Source organism: Homo sapiens, chromosome 4 (genome assembly GCF_000001405.40).
Source record: "Homo sapiens chromosome 4, GRCh38.p14 Primary Assembly".
In the NCBI taxonomy this organism is placed as follows: domain Eukaryota; kingdom Metazoa; phylum Chordata; class Mammalia; order Primates; family Hominidae; genus Homo; species Homo sapiens.
In genome coordinates this window covers 77,171,217-77,194,756 of record NC_000004.12, presented here as the reverse complement: position 1 = coordinate 77,194,756, position 23,540 = coordinate 77,171,217, and the positions used below count along the sequence as shown (strand labels likewise).

The window sequence follows — 23,540 nt, the reverse complement described above, 5'->3', positions numbered from 1 at the left end:
CCTAGTAAGCCTAAAGGAAGTGTCCATTCTCAATGCTAACGATCTGTTCAACTAGATGAAATTTCCTGTTTCAACTACTAAGTTTCTAACTGCTATCAGAAGTGCTTTCAGGTGTGTCAGTCTGACATTACCTGAGGCTTGCCAGTCAACGAGTCTCCCACCTCCACAACCAGGTGGAAGGTCAGTTGCAGCCCACAGGTTGCGTGTCTTCGAGGCAGACAGCTGCTTTCTGCTGAATATGATTAAGATCCTAACTTCCTAGTAAGGAGTCTTAAAAGCCACATGCTTGAAGTTCATTTTAGTTTTTTTTACTAATAGGTCACAAAGGGACGTTTCCTACCCTCAAAAAAAAACTAATTCAAAGTTGATCTACATTTTCTTATGGTTTTCATCGAAGTGGATCTAATTTTTAGTCTCTGAAGAGATGAGAAGCTAGCTTTTTAGTCACTTTCCACCATTACTCCAGACAGGTGTTTAATAGAGACTTTGGGATTCCAAATAGCTAAAAGGAAGTTCTAAAGATTGCTGCGCTTGCTTTAAACGTAGAACCTCTAAACCCGTGTATTTCTCTTGGAGTTTACGTAACTTCAGTAAGTTAGCTATAAGAGTGGCTTTGCTAAAGTCTATGGTAGAGATTAAACAGAAGTCAAGAGACAGGAGCCTTCTCAGCAAGTAAGGCTTGAGCATGAGAGAAGAAACCTCAATTCAAGATTGTATCTTAAGCTTCTAAAAGAACAAACTCTAAGAAAGCACAGTAACTGGAAGAGGCAAGCCTGCTAAAAACGACTTCAGGGAGTTGCTGTGACCTCCTAGGAGGTATTTTCTGCCCACACACAACGCCTAGTTCCCCTTCTTTCGAGTTCCTTAGTCCGCTTAAGTGCCCTCGCTTTTTTCTTCGTTCATCTTTCACTTCTAAAGCAAGCTAACCAAAGTTCCCCCTTGAGAATTACCAAGAGCTTGGTCCTTTCCACCCACCCCTCCAGCCACCAGAGAACTTCTTAGTACCTCGCAGGCCTACAAAGCTTTGGAAGAAACCCCGCCCGACCAACCCCAAACCATCCACCAGCGGAACAACCCACAGCCCCGCCAGGCTTCCTCGCCTTTTACACTTGAAGCCACGCCTTCCCCCTGGGTGAGGACCAATGAGAAAGCGTAGGAGCTACTTCAACTCCGCAATTGGTCCCAGACGGCTGCCAGGTGAAACCAAGCCTCTGGACGCCCCAGGGCTTTCTCTTGGGGCTTCCTACTTTAGACAGGCATTTCTCCCCTCCACCCGCTTTTTTTTTTTAACTACATTGTAAAGGCTGTTGAGTATTTTGAGAGAATAATTTAGAGTCACCTTCAAAAAGTGGCTGAATCAATTTCCCTTCCAGCACTTAGACAACATGGAAGATGTTTAGTGTGCCCTAAAGAATTTCAGAAGAAATATGAGTAGCTATTTGGTCAGACACTGGTGTTGAACACAAATATCCTTACCGTCAGACAACGCTGGTATTTCTCATCGCTCACCTGTGCGTGTTATGCATTTATTCGTTCATTCACAAGTATTATTGAGGAGGATGACTCAATGGAAGCAAGGAAGTAACCCAGTGAGGCTTTGGGTTTTGTCTGTGCTTCGCAAACGGCGGGCTAGAAAGTATGAGTATCCTCAGGACTCACATGTTTCTGGAAAGTCATTCCACTTGTACATTTGGGGATAAAAAGATTTATTTTATATTAAGACAATAGTAATCCAAACCAATATAAATAAATGAATGGGAAAAGAGATAAATCTTTCTTGCAGAAAAAGTTCAAATAATATATGTAACTCCCCACTCCAGGAGGTGGAGTTTAATCACCACACCCGTTCCTTGAGTCTGAGCAAGTTTTAGAGAATCCCTTCCAAAGAACAGAGTAGACGAAGGGAAAAGTAATAACTGTATAGTACAGAAACCTCAGCCGGGCGCGGTGGCTCACGCCTGTAATCCCAGCACTTTAGGAGGCCTACGTGGGCGGATCACGAGGTCAGGAGATTGAGATCATCCTGGTCAACACGGTGAAACCCCGTCTCTACTAAAAATACAAAAAATTAGCCGGGCATGGTGGCGGGCCCCTGTAGTCCCAGCTACTCGGGAGGCTGAGGCAAGAGAAAGGCGTGAACCCGGGAGGCGGAGCTTGCAGTTAGCCACGATCGCGCCACTGCAGTCCAGCCTGGGCGATAGAGCAAGACTCCATCTCAAAAAAAGAAACCTCGCAGGCACTATCTTAACCAAGTGATCCAGATTAATATGATCAAAGATAAACCATGTTGCTATTATGTACCCCCTGATATGATGAGAAGAGCACTTCGCTCCCATGGTATGCTTCTTCAAACCCCATACCCCTAACATAATCATAAGAAAAACATCAAAGTCAAACTGACAGCCATTCTACAAAATGCTGACCAGTAATCTTCAAAACAGTTAATCAAGGTTATGGAAATAAAGAAAGACTGAGAAAGTATTACATACCAGAAGACACTATAGAGACGTGATGAGTAAGTTCAATGTCATACCCTGGATGGGATTCTGGAACAACAACAACAAAAAAATCTATATTAGTGAAAAAAAAAAACTGGTGAAATCCAAATAAGTTTGGAGTTCTTAGCAATATACGAATGTTAATCTTTTCGTTTTGACAAATGTACTGTGGTTACATTAGATGTTAACATTAGGGGAAACTAGGTGAAGAGAATATGTTATTCACTTTACTATCCCTCAATTTTTATGTAAATCTAAAATCATTCCTAGATAAAACATTGATTTAAAATTTAAAAAAAGGAAATACATTGTAAAATTTGCATGAAATCTTAAGAAAACATGAGCCTTCAAAGAAATCTTATGCTTATCACAGACTGCTTTAAACTCTACCTTCCCCAGAGTTTCCAGAGGCACTTATCCATTATTAGAGGTATTTAGAGCAAAAGTTTTTGAAAAGCTGCAAGTTTAGCTACATGAATCCCATTGGAGGATAGATGTGAGGATGAAAAGAAGAGAAGCTGAGAGGCCAGCTGGAATCACACTGAGATCTAACCAAGTCTAAGGCAATAGGTCAATGGACAATGAGACACAAATTGACCTAGTTTATTCCTGCGACTGTCACCAGTGCTTTCCGGGAATTTACTGATGCTAGTCCCCTTCTTTCATCTTGAGTGTTCACATACTTGTAGTCAGGAGAAAGGAGATAGATACTCTTCCTTTAGGGTAGCCAGATAGAATCAACAAAATTGCCAAACATGCTGGAGAAGAACTGTTTAAAAAAACCTTTCGGCCGGGTGCGGTGGCTCACGCCTGTAATGCCAACACCTTGGGAGGCCAAGGGGAGTGGATCACTTGAGGCCAGGAGTTGGAGACCAGCCATAGGCAACATGGTGAAACCCCGTCTCTACTAAAAATACAAAAAAAATTAGCCGGTCATGGTGGCAGGCGCCTGTAGTCCCAGCTACTTGGGAGGCTGAGGCAGGAGAATTGCTTGAACCCAGGAGGTTCAAGCAGTGAACTGAGATCATGCCATTGCACTCCAGCCTGGGCAACAGAGCGAGCGAGACTCCATTAAAATAAAAAAAAAAAAAAAGACAAAAAACTTTCTCAAAAATTTAAAACACCTACTATGGAAGACTGGGTAAATAGTGGTCAAGAACACAGACTTTACAGGTAGACAGAAAAACCTGGGTTTAATTCCCAACTCTACTACCTACTAGCTCTGTGACCTCACACTAGCTAACCTCTCTAAGCTTCTGTTTTCTCAGGCTGTGAAATAGGGATACAAATAGTGCTTCCTTATAAAACTGTTGTGAGAGTTGGTTGATATTATGTTTGTAAAGCATCTAGAACTAGTTCATGGCACAAGCACATATAGCACTATTAACCAGATCTGTTCCACGTGCAATACATATTGACTCATTTAACTCTCACAACAATTCTATTATTGGTCTTCATGTCCCACATGAGGAATCTGAACCACACAAGGATGAAAAATTGGCCTAAGGTAGCACAGCCACAGTAGTGGACGTGGATTCAAACCCAAGCAGTCTGGCTCCAGAATCCTTACCTGTAGTCAGCACACTACACAGCACTGCCTGTAAAGGAAGGAAGAAGAAAGGAGACATGGCATCCTGGAAAGCCCAAGAAAAGAGGCACCCTTATAAAAGGGAAATGGTCAGCCCCACTTTGAAGTTGCAAATGTATAAATAATGCAGAAATGAATTTGGAACAATACCATGTTCATGTCCAAGGCCTGCAATGGTAGCACCTGCTTCTGCAGGCCCAAAAGTCAGTGAGAATCTTCATCTACAAGTCATACAATAACACTAAAAATAAAGCTTAACAAATAAGAGAAACCCACTCCCCGCATGTTTATGCCAGTGTTTTCTCAGTTGACTTCCTGGATAGAAAGCTCAACTACCTGATAGTCCAGTTCAAAATTAGACACATAACAATCCTCACTGTAGAGAAGCCAGGCAACATTCCACAGTTAGTCATCACTCTTCAAGGCCAGAGGATGGGGCCCTGGACCATGCCTGAGGATGTGATCTTGAGGCTCCCACTGCCCCCTAGCCTATGTAGCTGACAAGCACAAAAGTGGAGGCCCAGCTTGGACTCCTAATTTGGCCATTCCATCTCTAATTTACAGCCCAAAAATTAAAAGTTACCACCCTTTGGCTGGGCACAGTGGCTCATGCCTGTAATCCCAGCACTTTGGGAGGCCCAGGTGGGCAGATCACTTGAGGTAAGGGGTTGGAGATCAGCCTGGCCAACGTGGTGAAACCCCATCTCTACTAAAAATACAAAAATTAGCCAGGCACGATAGCACGTGCCTGTAATCCCAGCTACTCAGGAGGCTGAGGCACGAGAATCACTTGAACCTGGGAGGCGGAGGTTACAGTGAGCTGAGACTGTGCCACTACACTCCAGCCTGGGCGATGCAGTGACACTCTGTCTCAAAAAAAAAGAAGAAAAAAAAAGCTACCACCCTCTGCTTACTCTGAGCCAGGTACTCTACATACTTTGGCTTATTTAATCCCCCATTTGCCTCTATGAGATAGCTATTAATATTCCTATGTTATGAATGAGAAAAGTCAGGTTTGAAGGGATGAAGCAACTTTCCCCAAGTTACACAGCTGCCAAGAGGAATAGTCAGAGTGAGGATTTAAACCCAGGTTGTTTGGATTCCAAGGCCCTGCTCTTGAGCACTAAGTACTACAGCTAGGATTGTCTGAAAGTGAGTTTAGAGGGATGTATTGAGATGGTAGAGCCAGTAACCACTCCCTGTGGCCCTATTATCCCTTTTTTCCCGTGAAAGACCCCTGAAACCCACAAGAGAAGAAAGATAAAATGCTCTTCCTGCCACACGAGCTATCCTTAGGGATGGCGGCACAGAGAGAAGAGGTGTGGTGAAAGCACCCCAATTTTCTTTTCAATAGCTTTATTTCAATTCTATTACTTCCAAGCCAAGACAAACTGCTTCCGAATCCTAATCCACCCATCCCTTTTCTTTTCTGTCTCTTGATTCCCCCCAACCACAACCTGAGTCTGTGGAGGAGGAAACAGGGAGGGGAAATGAGGTTTGTGTAAAGAACAATTCTACTTCCAGTTTCCTGAACTCATATTCTGAGCTGGATTAATTTCAGTAGGTTATTCGCCAAAACTATCAGCAACTCTGGCTGCATTGTGAAGCCTGCCTGGATCCTAGTTCTGCCAGCATAGAAGAACAAAAGCATCCAGGGGAACAGGTGGTGAAAGGTGGCCACTGTCCACGCCAGCACAGCAGGAAGAACCCTCTGTGTTGGTGCTCTGCCCTTTGGAATCTGAGATTTGTTACTGTCTAACTCATTATTTGGATGGAGCTGGTGCTACTGCGTAGACAGATATATAATAGTATTTATTCTATCTTTTACAACATTAATAAGATATTGAACTCCAAAATGTACAAGCCTAATTTAGAATGTATACAGAGCTAAAACTTTCCAATTCCCTGCCACGGCTATATTTATACATCCCCAGTTTAAAATGAGAGAGCAGCTGCAAGTACTGTGGTAAAAAGGCTACCCACGTAGACCTTCTCCTGAGTTCTCCCTCGTCAGCATCCACTCTGCAACAACCCTAGTTTCAGCCCTCATTTCTCGCCTACCGCCTTGCTCTGCCCTCCCAACTGTTTTCACTACCTTCAGGGCCCACTCTCTAGGTCCTTCTATACACTGCATCCAGAGAGACGTTTCTAAAACACAAAAGCCTTCCCTGGCTTCCCATCACGTTCAGGATAAAGACAAAATTCCTGCAAAAAGAGTAGAGAAAAAAAGCCGTTTACTGCCTGAGCCAGTCTTCTACCAGTCTTCAAATTCCATCTCTGCTCTGACCCCCTTAGTTGATCCTCCTCCTAGCATTTTTCCAAAACTATTCCCACTTCTAGTACACTCTCATCTCTCTTTCATCTTCCCCATCCTGGCTAATTCCCACTTATCTTATTCCACTTTGACTTCCAACAGTGAAAGCAAAAGCAAGGTTTTCTTTTTTTTTTTTTTTTTCTGACACAGGGTCTTACTCCACAGGCCAGATGGGAGTGCAGTGGCACAATCACAGCTCACTGCAGTCTTCACCTCCTGGGCTCAAGTGATCCTTCTGACTTAGCCTCTAGAGTAGCTAGGACCACAGGCATGCACCACCACACCTGGCTAATTTTAAAAAAAAAATTTTTTTTGTACAGATGGGGTCTCTCCATGTTGCCCAGGGTGGTTTGAAACTCCTGGCCACAAGCGATCTTCCCACCTCAGCCTCCCAAAATGCTGAAATTACAGGTGTGAACCACTGCACCCAGCCAATTTTTTCTTCTTCAGAAAGCATTTCTCTGCTAGATCCCTGTCTTAGTCCATTCTGGCTGGTATAACAAAATAACATAGATAGGATAGCTTATAAACAATAAATTTCTTTCTCACAGTTCTGGAAGCTGAGAAGTCCAAGATCAATGTGACAATTCAGTATCTGGTGAGGGCCCACTTCCTGGTTCATAGATGGCACCTTCCTGCTGTGTACTCACATGGTAAAAGGAGCAGGGGAGGTCTCTGGGTTCTTTTTTACAAGGCTATTAATCCCATTCATGAGGGCTTCCCCCAGTAACCTCATCACCCCCCAAAGACACACCTCCTAATAACATCATCTTGGGGGTGACGATTTCAACATGTGAATTTGGGAAGTGGGTCGGGGCACAAACATTCAGACCACAGCTAGTCCTTAAAGAGAACTAAGGACCTCCCTCATGTCCTTTCAAAGCAAAAATGCTAACACTGCTCTTATTACAGCTCCATTGTCACCATCTGTTCATTTGTCTGTGTCCTTTGCCAGCAGTGAGCTCATGGAAAACAGAATGTATTATTTGCCTTTGTATCCCCAGTCCCCACAATAGTTCCTGGCTAGAAATGGTAACTCAATCATGGTTTTTGAAGGAATGAAGAGTTAAATAAATGGGTAGGTTGCTGTAACTAGAAATAGATGGTACACTTAAATGGTGTAATTGAGAGTTTAATAAAGGGACTATTTATGAAGGTGTAGACAAGTAAGGAAAATATATAAGAAGTAATGTAGCATCCCTGGGGCCAGCTACAGCAGGAGCTGTGACCACCTCTAGGCCTGAAGGTACAAGGAGAAAGAGTAGCTCTTAGAACCAGAAAGGGTAATTTCAGGGAAGGACCCACTGACAGGCGATATGGCCTTCAGTAGAGGATGTGTCCAACCTGCAGTGACCTGGGAAGATGGGGATAAATCTGAGGGGATAAATATCCTGAACTCACTCTCCCATCCTCCAGTCTTCTGCTCCTGACACTCACTGGCCAAACCATCCAGAAGCCAAAAGGCAAGGAGCCAGTGATGCAGTCAGCGTGGGTCATCTTCCCTAGGTGCACAGCAGGGTGAGGATGAGTGTGGGGTGGGAGGAGGGGGTCATATCTGGAGGAGCAAATGGAAAATATCCAACACAGTTTCTCTCCAAGAAAAGAAGAATTGCATTCTAAAGATTAAGGAGTTTAAGAACATGATCAGAGAAAAAAATTGTCTTCTTAGCATCTGATCAGAGACAGAAGAAATACTTTGATTACCCAGTTGTGATTTTAAAAAAAAAAAAAAAAGAGGCCAGGCATGGTGGCTCACGCCTGTAATCCCAACACTTTGGGAGGCCGAGGCAGGCAGATCATGAGGTCAAGAGATGGAGACCATCCTGGCCAACATGGTGAAACCCCATCTCTACTAAAAATACGAAAATTAGCTGGGCATGGTGGCATGCGCCTGTAGTCCCAGCTACTCGGGAGGCTGAGGCAGGAAAATTGCTTGAACCTGGGAGGCAGAAGTTGCAGTGAGCCGAGATCGCTCCACTACACTCCAGCCTGGCAACAGAGCGAGACTCGGTCTCAAAAAAAAAAAAAAAAAAAAAAAAAGAGCAATAAGCTGGCATCCAGGTTTCTTATGGTAGAAGCACATTTCTCAGAATAATAAAGGAAGAATAGGGAAGGAAAATGGGATTGGATGCATTCTTGGGGTAAGTTTAAGAGTAGGAGGAAGACAGTGGCTGAGGGCCAGGAGGCAAGAGTTAGAAGAGATCAATCTAGTAGAGATTTTTCAAGTGAAAATGTGGGCACTCTGTGTGATGAGATATCTCCCTATGATCATATGAACTCACAGTAAGGATGAAAAAAAAAGTGATAATATGCTCAGTGTGAATAGATTTCTTATGGAAGTTAATGAAGGAATTGAGTTTGTATCAATATTGGAATGGTACAGGGCTGCTGAAGGCATCAAGAAGAAAGACACATTGCTTAGATAAACAGAGAAGGAACTGGGGTTTGGAGAAGTAAAGTAGCCAACCAAAGGGCACAATGCCAGGAGAGACAGCAAGATCCAAAATCAGGTCTGTCTGACTCTAACTTCTGAGCATTTTCACTGTCAACCTCCCTCCTTCAATTGTATCTCTAACACAGAAGCAGTGAGGTAGGCATGTACAAATATTTAAGCCTTTCTGAATATAGAAACTATAGCTCTATAATTCTAATAGTTTATAGATACATACTAATATAAGGGCTAGAATTTAGGGAGTACATACTGTGTGCCAAGGGCTTTACACAGGTTATCTTGCCTAATTAAAGAAACTCAAGAAAGATTCTATTACCATCCCATTTTACAGATGAGGAAACATCCGAAAAGATGAAGCAACATTCCTAAAGTTGCATAGTTAGTAAGTTTGAATTCAGAATTCAAATTTAAGCAATCTGTATTTCTAGATAATCTCAGCAGCTGTCCTGAATACATTTATTCCATTTAAGCATTTAAAAAGAGAGGGTTTATACCTTTTTGAATGAAGAGCTGCAAATCAAGCTGTTTTTTGAAGCTGGGTTTCTTCCAGCTCCAAAGTACTATGGATCTATTATCACAAGTATCCCTTGATTTTTAGTCCCAATTCCTGCTGTCTGGCATATCACAATAGCTGCTGCCATTGGATTTTCACATTTTACTCTTTGAAATGAGACTACCAGTGGCAGCATTGGAAGGTCACAGCACTTCCTCAGGAACTCATATGTTAGAAGAGGTCCCCTATGATGATCTCAGCAGCAGCTTGTCTCTGCACTTGATCCTCTCTGCAGGTCTGCTTCAGGTCCAGGAGCTTAGAAATAGAGGAAATCTTATTGTAATAAAGGAAAAGAAGAGGAAGCATTGTTGTTCTCTGTAGTTCATGTTCCTAACAGGAATTTCTCCAGGCACTTAGACTTTGGCAGTATTTAGTCTCACTGTTACATCCAACAGGAGTGGTGTTCTGCCTTTATCTGGAATGTTCTTGATGAGCACTGTGGCCCAAAATGCTGGTTTGACATCTTTGACTTTTCCTTAAAACATTTTATCCATGGATATCAAAGCATTTCTTAATATTGTTATTATATTTCACATTATCTGTGAGTTTTTAGAAGGTAATATTATTCCATTTTATAGACAGTAACAAAATGTCACAGAGAAAATAAGTGACTTACCTAAGTTATAAGTCAGTGACAAAACTGGAACCAATATCCTGTGTTCCTCACTGCAGGTGAAATAAATTCATCTCCTAGAAATATTCTGTTTTTTCTTCTCCATATGTCCAAAGCCATCCTTTCCTACAGGATAAACTACCAGTCTTTTAGTGCTACATGTTAAGGCAAGAAGCCAGCACCAGCCTTCCATTATAACTTTATAACCCAGTACACAAAAGCATTTGGAGTCCAAAGAAGCCAAGTGTGAATATTAGCTCCATCACTTACTAACTGTGAATTCTTGGATCAATTCCTTCACATATATGAGTCTTAGTTTTCTGTAAGACAGGAAGCACTGCTAATTGCCTGCCCAATATCTACGCCTGTTTCTGTCTTCTACCAGAAACCTGATTTGGTTCAGGGCATCACTGTGCCCAGGTAGAAATGTCTGCTTCTCCAGACTCGCTCTCAGCTCGGGGTGCCCAACTACCATATGACCCAGTTCTGGGTAGTGAATCATAAACTGAGGTTTCTGGAAAGCTTTGCTTCCCTTAATAAGTGCCCACTCCACCTCCTCTGCTTCTTCCTGCTTGGTCTGCTTTCCTTTTCTTTTTTTTTTTTCCTCCAACACTTAAATACTCATTTCCCTATATTTTCCATTATGCTATTTCTTGGATGAAATAACTAGTTAACTGGTTGAAATGAGAACTCTTCTTCCTTCAATACCAGCCAAAGGTACGTTTCCAAACACCCTCCTCAACACCTCCCGGGAGAGCTCGCTGTATCCAAGTCTTACTTGAAAGCCTGAAGTTATGATTTATTTATGTTTTCAGAATCTCTCAAATTCTTAGGAACAAATTACATCATCTGCAGATGTTCCAGACTTAGTTTCCTTCTCTCTCTTTCTGGTTTTAGTCCTAGAGTTGTCCAGAACCATCTCTGAAAGAGGACAAACAAGGGAAGGGACACAGTGTCTTCTCTTTGTCCTTCAGACCCACTCTCTGCTCTTCTCCATTGTGCTTTCCACCCAGGAAACTGAGTTCATGAACTACACCAGTAGGCTCTTGTGCTCCCTGGCTTCTAGTTGGGCCAATGGGGAGCCCTGGCAGAGATTGGAGGGAGGGAGGAGTATGAGGTCAGTATATTTAGGCCCCTGGCTCTCAGGTAAGCTGTGTCCTCTCAACCAAGGTCACAGATCTTCTCAAGTCATCTTTTCTACGCAACTCTTCCTTTTGGGTTCCAGCAGCCATCTATCCTCCTTTTATCACTTTGGGCCTAATTTGATTACAGCTTCTCTGTTTCAAGACCTGACTTCACTATCCTTGAGGTTTCCCTACACCTCTCTTTTACCTTTGAAAATTGTCCTTTTATTAAACACTCTTTGAATTATCCTAATTTGAGCAAGTCATCTGTTTCCTTGACAACACTGATACAGATGAGAACATCAAAATGGTCCATTTTTGCATCTAAATAGTGCTCCTCAGATTTCCCAGTGTCTAGGGTCCTCACACTAAAGGGACAAGTGCCCAGAATTCCCACTACTACAGCCCAGCAACTCGGTATTCCCCACTCTGTCACTATTGTCCTCACACCATACTTTCTTCAACTATGTTTAAAACTGACCTATTCTGTATCCTTTTTCATGACTCTGTCTTCCAACATGACAACGAGTGAATTTCCTTATGGTTGCTAGTATGTCAATGGAAGAAAGTCGGCACAGTGTTTATCGGTCTTCTATAAACAAATTGCTTCTTTCTAGACAATGCCCACTGGTCCTCATAGTCTATATATTCCATTGCTGTCCTGTGGCCTATAATTAATCATACAGGGCTGATTCTCCTAAAAAGTACAGGCGCTGCTTCATTATTTCACTGCAGAAATTTTTTTTTTAAAGGTGACAAGTTTCAGGCTTTTGATATTTAAAAATTATTGCCAACTAGGATGTACAGCCATAGTTTGTCCTGGGGCTTGAATAAATGCAAACCCTCTTGCTAAGATTGGAACGCACAATCTCGGGAAGGACGCTGAGTGAGTGCACCTTGTCACCCTTTTCAGGCTTCGTCTTTCTCTGGCTTTTCAGGTCTCAAAACTCTTTTCTCAGAATACTCTGTGAATATTGATTTCACAAGGACTGGCTCACTCTAACCAAAGTATTAAGAAATTCACATGTAAAGTAGAATGCCAACTTACTCATTTATAATGAGACCTATTATATGGGAACTTGCTTGTGGGTGAATTACATATATTCTTTAAGTACATATATACTTTAAGTTACTTCAACCAGGCAATAAATGTATTATCAGTTAGCTGCAAGTAACAAAAACCAAAACAATAGATTAAACCATAAGAACATTTGTTAATAACATATTGTTTATTTACCAGGAAGAGAGCAGTCTCATTAATGTCATCAAGGAACTATATCCTTCAGCACATTTGCTTATGGCCTCTTGGTTGCAAGATGGCTGCCCCTCCAGGTATCAAGACGGCATTCAAAATTAGAAAACAAATAGCCGGTGCACGTATGTGTGTGCGTGCTTTCTTCGCATAAGGCTTTGTCTTTTTATCCAGTTAGCTTCTCAGAAGCCCCACTAGCCAGAACTGTGTCACATAGTCATTCCAATTGTCAGGGAGGCTGGGAAAGCAGGTATCAAACTCTCTGGCCACTATTCTATAGTGAAAGCCAGCATGGAATAAGAGATTTGGATCGCATGGCAGCTGTGGAGGTGTGCTGCGAAGATCTCCCTTTAAGAGAGAACTCACTGTTGCCTCTAGCTGCAGCATCTTCAACATATGCCATGTGTTTGAGCTGAGGCCCATCTCTTCCTGGGTAGCCCCCAGCCAATACCGTACAAGCTGGGAGTGCTCGGGTGTGGCCCTGTCTGCCCAGCATGGGACTCTTCTAATGGGGACTCTTTGTTCCAGAACTCCCTATTGCATAGGCAGAGATTTATGCAGATCCACACCATGGTCTGAAGCTCCCCTTGCCCAATTCTGCCTCTCTTTCTTTCCTTTCACAGGTGTCTAATCTGCATGGAGGTGTGAAGACTTTCATTGCCCAGTCCTGTTTCCTCTCCCTTCTGTCATGGCCATTAGCCCCCAATAAATTTATTGTACTCCTAATTCCATCTTAGCATCTGCTTCCTAGAGGAGCTGAACTGACAGCAAAGGGCAACATCAACATGTTAGTTACCTGTAACAAAGAAATCAGACATTACCCGTGCTAGGAGAATATAGGATCAGAAAGTCAGGTGCAGGCCTTCTGACTCTATATAGCATGAGTATTGTTTGATTACAAGCTTATGCTTGTAATCCCAGCGCAAACTGGCATTTAGGAGGCAGAGGTGAGAGGATCACTTGAAGCCAGAGTGTGAGACCATCCTGGGCAAAATAATGAGATCCTATCCCTGCAAAAAATTGCTAAAAAAGAAAAATTAGCCAGTCATAGTGGTGCTCCATGCCTGTAGTCCCAGCACTTGGGAGGCTGAGGCAGGAGGGTCACTTTAGCCCAGGAGGTCAGAGCTGCTGTGAACTGTGATTGTGCCACTGCACTCCAGCCTGGGCAACAGAGCAAGACCCTGTCTCAAAAAATAAAAACAAAACAAAACAGAAATATAGGATCAGAACAAGCTAGGGTACTCTAAGTAGTCCGGTCTCACCATAAGGGTGTTCCTAATTTGGTCTCTCTTCTCTCTTATTTCAGAAAGGACATCCAGGCCCCCAGCCTCACACTTGTGCACACTGGCAAAGTCGGTCTTGGATTCTCTGACTCGTTTTTCTGTTCCTGGTCAAATCATTCTCATTCTGTTGGCCTGCGCTTTCTTAGCCATGTTGATTCCACAGAGTACACTAGAACCAAGCCCTGTTTTTCCCACCTTGGGGCCCAGAAGACATTCTGTTCCCTTTTTTGGTCGGTTGTTTGCTTGTTTTGTTTTGCTTTAAGGAGAATTCTCCAAATATCTGCTTTGTTCCATTGTGTATTGACTTTATAATTCCAATTCTCAGAGTTCTAAAGAAGCATCACTGACACCCCTTTCCATTCTATACTGTCCTTTAAAATAGCATCCATTCTAGAGCATAATTTCCTGCGGGGAACCCTTCAGTAGCTTCATGTGTTTGTTAATTCCACCTTCATTTATTGAGCATCTACTCTGTGATGAGCTCTTTTCTAGGAGCTGGCCATAGCAACAATGAAGAAGAAGCTCACAGCTGGTTTTAAGTTAAGTAAAACTATTATTAAAAGGCAGAAGAGGGCTGGGTGCAGTGGCTCACACCTGTAATCCTAGCACTTTGGGAGGCCGAGGTGGGAGGATCATGAGGTCAGGAGTTCAAGACCAGCCTGGCCAACATGGTGAAACCCAGTCTCTAATAAAAATACAAAAAAAAAAAAATTAGCTGGGCATCATGGAGCATGCCTGTAATCCCAGCTACTCAGGAGGCTGAGGCAGGAGAATTGCTTGAACTGGGACCTGGGAGGCAGAGGTTGCAGTGAGTCAAGATCGTGCTACTGCACTGCAGTCTGAGCTACAGAGCGAGACTCCACCTCAAAAAAAAAAAAAAAAGGCAGAAGACGCCAGGTGTGGTGGCTCACACTTATAATCCCAGCACTTTGGGAGGCCGAGGTGAGGGGATCACCTGAGGTCAGGAGTTCGAGACCAGCCAGACCAACATGGTGAAACCCTATCTCTGCTAAATCCCAGCTACTCTGGAGGCTGAGGCAGGAGAACTGCTTGAACCTGGGAGGCGGAGATTGCAGTGAGCCAAGATCATGCCATTGCACAACAGCCTGGGTAGCAAGAGTGAAACTCAATATAAAAAAAAAAAAAAGAAAAAAAGGCAGAAGAGATAGATTCAAGCCAAAAGAGGAGTTCTTCACTCATCAGACCCTTTCTCTAACCTAAATATTTTAAGCTTTCCATCCTCCAAGAGATGAAACTGCAGAGATTGTCAGAACAGCATAGACTCTCTACAGGCATGCACTGGATATTAAATATGGGTGTGGCTTATTGTCTGCCAATTTATGCTGCTTGTCACTGTCTGGTGCCACCCTCAGATCTCCACTACTGATAGCTGCCTGCCTAAGATGGCCTCTCTCACCAGAGCTTGAAAAATGATGGAGCTGCCCAAATGGTGGTTCTTTCTACACCTGCTATACTTGCAGCACATTCCCAGGTACATTTGCCTTACAGTCTTCATCCTTGTCTTGGTTTCAGAATATATTTGTGCTGAATGTTCTTATTCCCATTAATTAATGCCCATCATTCCATTTTGCCACCGTAATTATTTATATAATCATTATCAGTTCTGTCCTTCTAAAGTAAAAATTAACACAGCTCAAGACAGACTTGACTGGATCACAGTCTGGATTGTAATCTAAAACATTATACCTAGAAATAATGACAGCCCTCTAGTCTGGGAATTCAGTCTAGTCTGGTCTTTCCCAAAAGACAAGAGTCTTGGGTGCTTCGGCAAAGCTATAGTGGACCTCAGAAAGTCACCTAGGTCACCTAGCCCAAACTCCTCATTTCATAAAGAACAGAATGGGGGCCGGGCATAGTGGCTCAGCCTGTAATCCCAGCACTTTGGAAGGCCGAGGCGGGCAAATCACCTGAATTCGAGACCAGCCTGACCAACACGGCGAAACCCCGTCTCTACTAAAAATACAAACATTAGCCAGGCTTGGTGGTGCACACCTGTAATCCCAGCTACTCCGGAGGCTGAGGCATGAGAATCGCTTGAACCTGGTAGGTGGAGGTTGGAATGAGCTGAGATCGGGCCACTGCACTCCAGCCTGGGCAACAGAGCTAGACTCCATAAAAAAAAAGAAAGAAAGAAAGAAAGAAAAAACAACAAAATTAACTCCAGATCAGTTAAGTTACTTGCCTAGGTCAGACAGCTGTGGACAAATCTGGGACTAAAACCCGAAAGCCCTCCTCCTGCCCAGGCTCTTTCCAACAGCTGTCCTACACAGAACTCGCCTGGACTCACTGGCTCCCACAGCTAATCCTCCCTCCATGTTTTAATCCCCACTGTGTTCTCTTTCTTTCATCTCATGTCACCTGCAGCTTCCTTTCTTTCCCTCTTCCTTCTCCTTCCACAGGATTTTTTACATTCCTGTCAGTCCTGTGTTGCTCCCTGTATGCAGAGCCTATGTTTTTTCTCTTTGCTACTAGTTACTAGTAGCAAAACTAAAAGAAGAAAACTAGTATGCATGTCTATCTTTGTATCTTCTACATTCAGTGCTTTTAAAAAATGCTTAATGTTTATGGAAATTCTGAACTATATTTAAAATTATAATTCTACAAATATACTATAAAGTCTACTGGGAAAATAATACTACCCAATTCCCAATACTAAATGCTTAATACTAAAGTACTTCTAGGATAGCAGAGTCGTTTTTGGAATGATTGCATCAGAGCTCTCAGGATCAAGAAAAGATATACAGTTTTTATACAGGAATTCTAGTCTCATGTAATATAATCAAACCAAAATGTAAAGGATGATATTAACTCTCTGTAGAAGCAATGGAAATGAATGACTGAGAGAGTAAAAAACAAGCAACAAAAACAACAACACCTCATGACCTTAACTGGGAAAGCTGTTTGGGGACAAGTAATGCTCAAAATCAAACCTACTGTTCTGTGGCCATGCTGCCCAAGCATGGACCTTCTGATTACCGTTCAATTTCCCATGTATTCTGCCAACAGAAAGAACATGTTTTTGATGGCAGGCATTAATATTCTAGATCCAAGGAAGGAAAATGCTCAGTATAAATTAATTACTTGGTATCCTCATTCTCTTTCAGTAAGAGGCTGTTCCACTCCGTGTGATAGATTCTAGCTCTGGGCTGGCAGAGCTGAGGTTCTCACCTTGAATTCTGGTGACCCCACAAAGGTGTGGTTACCATGAGCTCTGCCTCATGTCCAGCCAGCCTCCCTCTTTAGCATTTTAGGTCCCTCTCTAATTTCTTCAAGTTGATAAAATGATGCATATCTATTGAGCATAATTGCAGGTCTTGAATATAGTAGGTTACTTGCCCTCTAAGAGCAGACAATCTCGTTGGCTTCAACAAACCAGGAGTATGGCTTTTAAAGATTTTAAGAATTGGATAACTAGGTCTGCTTCTCTCTGTGCCATCTTTTTCATGTTTTTCTAACAGCATCAAGAAAGGGAAGAAAAGCAGTGTTGAGAGCCTGCTGGGGCTGGCCCTGGGTGAGCAAATGCAGTTCTCTCTGTGTGCCTCAGACAAAGGAGAAGCGTCTCTTGTAGGCTCATTTCATTCTTGCTTGAGCAGCCCTGTGTGTGTTCTCAGAACTCAGGGTCCTGGAAACTGCATAAAGGAGTCAAATCATTCAACCCCAAACAGGGCTCTTGCCCTAAGTCCAGACAACAGCTGTGAAGCAGCTGCACCATTGTGCTCTAAAGCTGCTTAGTGTAAGATGCAAAGGAAAAAAGGATTAGCCCTTGGAAACTATGTGAAAAACACAACCCCCTGCGACAACAGCTGGCAGGTAACATATATCATGAAGACATTTGCGGTATTAGAATGGATACATAAAAGATGAGAATTCAAACAGTATTTTAAAGTTTTTTTCCCCATGAAAGTTAATGCGCTCCAATCTTTTCAATTTAAGAAAATTAATAAGAAAAAAATGGAAAGAGAAGAACTACGGCAGCTGGTACAACACAGACATGGAGGCGGGTAAAATATGAGTCTGCCACCTTCACCTTTTCCCCCTCTCCAATGCCCCACCCGAAAATAACATGAAATGTTTCCCTGGAGCAACCAAAGATGAATGTCTGCTCCCCAAGCCAGGCCCCAAGTTCAGGCGCAGCACCACTTCTTAGAGTTGGCAGCTTTACTAGACTTTGATCATTCCTTCGTGGGACACATCAACCTTGCTCCTCCTTAATGTGCAAGATGAGGCAAGAGCCGAGGCCAGGCAGGTATAGCTGCAGGCAGAGCTTTCTCCAGTGCTGTACAGAAAGGCTTTTGCCTGCCCAGGCCCAAGGGGAGCCGTTGCAGTTGCTTGCCTCCCACATCCTATGGAAAGGAGTCCCCATGTTCTGGTGGCTTAGGATGTGTGTTTCTCAGTGGTGGGCGAGCTGGAACCTGGGACCAAAAGGTAGTCAGGCACTGCCTACTTTCTGAGCCCAGCTTTTGGGGTCTGTGCTTTTTCCTCCCATCCTTTTTAGTGACACCTTCCTCTGAATTCTTTAGGAATCGAATTGACCCCATTTGCCTTTCTGACCCTCCTCCCCCTTCCCCATCAAAATTACCTGTCAAGGAAGTAAGGAAACTGTCACTGAAAGGCATTACTGATGGGAATATAAATCTATATCCCCTTTCAGGGATGCAGGTCAACACAGTATACATTTTAAATGTACATTCTCTTGGACCCAAGATTTTCACTTCTAGAAATGCATCCTAAAGAAATTATTACCCAGGTAGGCAGAAATGTATGTGCAAGAATGTTTACTGCTGCTTTGATTTAAAATACTGAACAATTGTCAATAATACAGCCATCCATCAGAAAGAGATCAGTTAAATAAATTATCACGTAAGCATCCAACAAAACCCTCTTCAATCTTTAAAAATAAGGAAGTAGGTTTATATCTACTGACACTGATGTATGCCCCTGATATATTGTTAAATGAGGAAAGTGGGTTATAGAAGCATACATAGAGTAGGATCGTGCTTATACATTTTTTTAAAGTTTACATGTTTATACTTGCATAAAAAGAATGAAATGATAAATGTCATTCTGTTGACAGTAGCATCTCTGAGGAACAGTATTAGAGGCATTATCCACTTTCTCTATATTGCTTACATTTTTACAAAGGAGATATAGTAACAGAAAAATACTTTGATGTAGTTTTTTAAAACCTTCTCTAAGAACAATATATGCAAAGCCTTCACACTGACAACAACTTATATTTGCAAAGAGCTTCACAACTTTATTTTCCCCATTAACTTATTCCGTCTTCACAGCCCTGTGAGGTTGGGAAGATAGATCTTAGTATTTATTGTCAAAGATAAACAACCGTCCGTTAACGTGGTGAAAACAGATTTTATTCAGTAACTACTGAGAGTAAGAGAAGGAGCAGAGCTCAATTCTGATTTGTGCTGAGGTGACTGGGCGTTTTAAAGGGGAAGATGCGGGAGGAGGGAGGAGGAGCCTGTGGGACTCTGGTGAAGCCTTACAAACGGTTGGTGGGCATCACCATAATTAGGCCAGCTGCACGTGCTAGCTGGCAATTAACACCAGTTAGGAGCCAGGGCCCTATCCTTCCTGATAATTACATTTCAAAGGAATGGCTTTCAGATTCTTGAGAGAGACACTCCTGACTTGCAGGAGATACACATACATCTCAAAGAGACAGAGAAAGAATTCACAATTGTAAGCCCTGTTTGGTAAATGCTCTAAGTAAGGAGGTCAGGGGTCTATCTTCAGGTGTTGGCTGGAACAAACAGCAAATTCTTTTCACAGCCCTGAGCTTTTCCAGACAGGAACTTAAAAGAAGGCTAGGTTGCCCCAGGGACACAACCTTAGTCTGCTAGAAGCCGTGTTAAAGTTTGGTCAAGTCTGTTCGTGCAGAAGTTTGAAAGAAGCGTTTGTGCTGAAGGTTTTTGGCATTCTGAGTACCCTTTTTTCAGCTTAAAAAACTAGTTCTCGGTCGGGCGCAGTGGCTCATGCCTGTAATGCCAGCACTTTGGGAGGCCGAGGCGGATGGATCACCTGAGGTCAGGAGTTCGAGACCAGCCTGGCCAACATGGTGAAACCCCGTCTCTACTAAAAATACAAAAATTAGCCAGGCATGGTGGTGGGCGCCTGTAGTCCCAGCTATTCAGGAGGCTGAGGCAGGAGAATCGCTTGAACCCAGGAGGCAGAGGTTGCAGTGAGCCGAGATTGTGCCATTGCACTCCAACCTGGGCAACAGAGCAAGACTCCATCTCAAAAAAAAAAAACAAAAATGAAAACAAAACAAAACAAAAAAAACAAGAAAACTAGTTCTCAGAGAATTTACATGATGTGGCAGCTGGGAGGTGTGACACACAGATCTCCCTTCCAGGAAGATCTTGCCATTCCACCACCAGGAGGGCAGCAGCTCCCAGTCACCAGCTGCAGCATCATCAAACCCCACCTCAGCGTTTGAGCAGAAGCCAAGCTCTTCCTGGGTAGTTTTCAGCTTACAGCCTCCCCAGCTGCGAGGAAGTACAAGGTCAGCCCATTTCTGCCCAGCCTGGGACTCTTCTAATGGGCAAATTCTGCGCCAAAGTACTAGGTTAGCTGCATCTTTGTCAGATCTGCAATACAATTGCAGCCTCTCCTTGTCCAATCCTCTTGCCTCCCTTTTTCCCTTTTACAAGCATCCTCCCAAGAAACCCCTTCATCTCAGTATCTGCTTCATGGGGTACCTGAGCATGTGGCTTGCCAAAAACTACATTCACAGCTAACATATGCTCAAACCAGTTTCTGAATCCCATTAAAATGTAAGCCCTGTTAGAAATATTTGCATTTTAACCAGATTCAAGGTGTTTAGCTAAAGAAAAGGCATTCTAAAAGGGGGAATGGCAGAATGAGCTGAAGGGTAACAAGGATGTGAGGGGAACTGGGGAGAGGTTGGGCCCTCAGGGCCTCCCTTCAATGACTGGAATCACACTACATGGCCTTTTAGCTTCATCCAGAAGGTTAGGAATACAAGCAGAGGCAAGGCCAGAACACTAACACAGCACTATAGACAAATTCCTATTCCCGCATTTCTTACATTACATAGTAATTGATATGTCTGCCTCTCTCATTAGATTATGAGCTTCTTGAAGGTAAAAACTGTGCTTTAATTCCTTTTGGCATTCTCAGTGCCTAGGACATAACTCTGCATCATACTAGTTCAGTAATAGTTGAATAAATAATTGAGTCTTAGCAGGAAGAGAGACAAAAACGGGATGATAATTGTTACAGCCAGTATTTATTGAGCGCATATCAGCCACTGTTCCAAATGCTTTATCATATATCATCATATTTAAATACACAGTAACCCCACGAGGCAGTGGAGCAGGTGGTGTTGCCCAGGAAGCAGACTCTGAAACAAAGTTTAGGGTACACTGTGTTTATTAGGGAATACCCTTGGGATCAACACCCAAAACAGAGAGGGGAAAGAAGGTTGGGCTAGGTGTGGTGGCTCATGCCTGTAATCCCAGCACGTTGGGCGGTTGAAGCCAGACGATCACCTGAGCACAGGAGTTCAAGACCACCCTAGGCAACATAGAGACCTCATCCCTACAAAAAAATTTTTTTTTAATTAGCAGGCATAGTGGCACATGCCTATGGTCCCAGCTACTCATGAGGCTGAGGTGGGAGGATCATTTGAGCTTGGGAGGTCGAGGATACAGTGAGTGGTGATCGCACCACTACATTCTGTCACCAGGTGAGAGCTAGACCCTGTCTCAAAAAAAAAAAAAAGGAAAGAAAAGAAAGAAGCGAGATTGGACAGATTCACCTGGGTTGTCCTGTGTGGGCACCAAAGTGACCAGGACTTTATACCTCCTCCAACTCAGTCATTAGATGTGAGCCCTCCTTGGATGAGGCAGTACTCTGCCACTAAGGCAGTCCCCAGAGGGGCTGTCCACAGAAGGCTGCCTGCCAAGGGCACTCCCAGAGGCTGGGGCATCCGCAGCACACTACTATGTCCCTCACAAGTAGCTGTTATTAGTTCCTTTATGCAAATGAAGAAACTGAGGCACAAACACTTTAGTTAACACCTCGCCAGGTCAAACAATGAGTGGCCAAACCAGGACTCAAGGACTGGCCTTCTGGTGCAGAGCCTATGCCCATCACTACATCTTACTCTCAAATAGGTACAGGTGATTGTAGCAATGGGCAATGGCCTCCCAGAAGCCCTGTTAATGATCTGAAATCCTAACTCTGGAGAGCATGAATTTGTCCTCACGTGTGTTTACCTTTACAAACTATAACTCACTGCAACCAAGAATGGAAAAAAACATTGTCAGGTGTGATCCACGTAGAAAAATATTGACACACATTTTTACCCAGGATTATTATGCTAGGCACCCATAGGATATAAAGGAAGGAGACTGTATGGTCTCTTCTCACGAGAAGCTTAGAGTTTAGGCAAGGGGATAAACCACAGACATGTGAAATATTTATTGGACAAACCTCAGAGCAGTAAATGAGTAAGTGTGAGATGATTGCTACGTTGAATAATAGTAAAATAGCAAAGGGCAAGCAAGCCTTTAACAAAACGGTTGTCTGGGGTTGCAAGTTCCACCCACACTAACACTGAATTCCAACACTGTGAGTATTGGAACCCAGAATGATCAAGCACAAACTGTCATCAAAGTGTAAAAAGAACTAGACATACAGGGGCTGGGAAGACCCACAGGCTTGAGTACCAAGAGGTCCCGGGCAAATTAAAATCTCCAGCCCTTGAGGAATACCTATATTCTCTGCCACTATACTGTCTTGGATTTTTACATTTGTGTCCTATTTTGGCTTCTGAGAAAAAATATTTTAACTCTAAATCTTAGCCACCTTTCCTTTCTATGGGTGAGAGCACTTAAACATTGAACAAAAGAATTCTGTGATTTATTTTACTGGTATTATGAGTAGAATTTTCTTTATAAGAATTTTTATTATTTAATTCAATCAACAACTATTTGGTAATATCATCAACTTTTGGGTAATAGCTTAGCGTTGTGGTTAACAGGATAGTGTTTGGCAGAGAAATTTTGTTTGAATTATGGCCCTGCTACTTACTAGACCTGTGTCAAGGTACTTATCTTCTCTAATCCTTAGTTTCTTCGTATGTAAAATTGGACTAATAGTAGTACCTGTCTAATAGCAGTGTGGTGAGGATAAAATCATTCATGTAAGGTGCCTGAAACATATTAAGTGGCCAGCAAAGTTACTTGTTGCCAGTAATAGCAACAGCAGCATGAGGAGTATGGGCCAGATAATGTGCTGGGTGCTTGGCAGTCAACAAAGAACGAAAGAGACAAAAGGCCCTGCTGTTCCAGAGCAAACAGGTAAGGTTAGCAGATAAGTGGGACACACAAGCAAGATATTAATTTCTAGGATAAGAAAAAATGTAGGGTTTTATGGAAACATGTAACACTGACAAAGAGAGGAAAGTCAGGGAGTTCCAGAAAGATTTCTTGGAAGAAAAAATTGTCACAGCCTTTTAACATGATTTATTTATTTATTTGGTGGTGTTGTGGTTGAGATGGAGTCTCACTCGGTCACCCAGGCTGAGTGCAGTGGTGTGATCTTAGCTCACTACAACCTCTGCCTCCTGGGTTCAAGCGATTCTCTTGTCTCAGCCTCAGGCATCCGCCACCATGCCCAGCTAATTTTTTTATTTTTAGTAGAGATGGGTTTTCACCATGTTGGCCAGTCTGGTCTCAAATTCCTGACCTCAGGTGATCCACCCACTTTGGCTTCCCAAGGTGCTAGGATTATAGGCGTGAGCCATCGCATCCAGCCTGAACATTTTATTATTTGCCATGAATTTTTGGGTTCTG

The 23,540-nt window shown here is 43.0% G+C and overlaps 1 long non-coding RNA gene across 2 annotated transcripts, besides 3 other annotated features; it reads right to left on the bottom strand.

Annotated features, from left to right (window-relative positions):
- Nucleotides 853–902: an enhancer, noted in NCBI's record as "active region_21638". NCBI's record gives its function as "activates an Ori minimal core promoter by ATAC-STARR-seq in GM12878 lymphoblastoid cells {active_cell/tissue: GM12878}" and the evidence as "EXISTENCE:reporter gene assay evidence [ECO:0000049][PMID:35858748]".
- On the bottom strand, nucleotides 2,184–15,724 carry LOC107986292 (uncharacterized). Of its 2 annotated transcripts, XR_001741742.1 has the most exons (4): nucleotides 15,691–15,724; nucleotides 10,022–10,144; nucleotides 9,347–9,660; nucleotides 2,184–2,546 (listed from the first exon to the last, which is right to left on the bottom strand). It is a non-coding gene; the product is annotated as an uncharacterized LOC107986292 (long non-coding RNA). The 2 variants fall into 2 exon arrangements; XR_001741741.2 differs by lacking the exon at nucleotides 15,691–15,724 and having other exon boundaries at nucleotides 10,022–10,446.
- Nucleotides 19,003–19,649: an enhancer, noted in NCBI's record as "OCT4-NANOG-H3K4me1 hESC enhancer chr4:78096261-78096907 (GRCh37/hg19 assembly coordinates)". NCBI's record gives its function as "activates a minimal SCP1, AML or CMV promoter by ChIP-STARR-seq in naive H9 embryonic stem cells {active_cell/tissue: H9 hESC(naive)}" and the evidence as "EXISTENCE:reporter gene assay evidence [ECO:0000049][PMID:30033119]".
- Nucleotides 19,650–20,296: an enhancer, noted in NCBI's record as "NANOG-H3K4me1 hESC enhancer chr4:78095614-78096260 (GRCh37/hg19 assembly coordinates)". NCBI's record gives its function as "activates a minimal SCP1, AML or CMV promoter by ChIP-STARR-seq in naive H9 embryonic stem cells {active_cell/tissue: H9 hESC(naive)}" and the evidence as "EXISTENCE:reporter gene assay evidence [ECO:0000049][PMID:30033119]".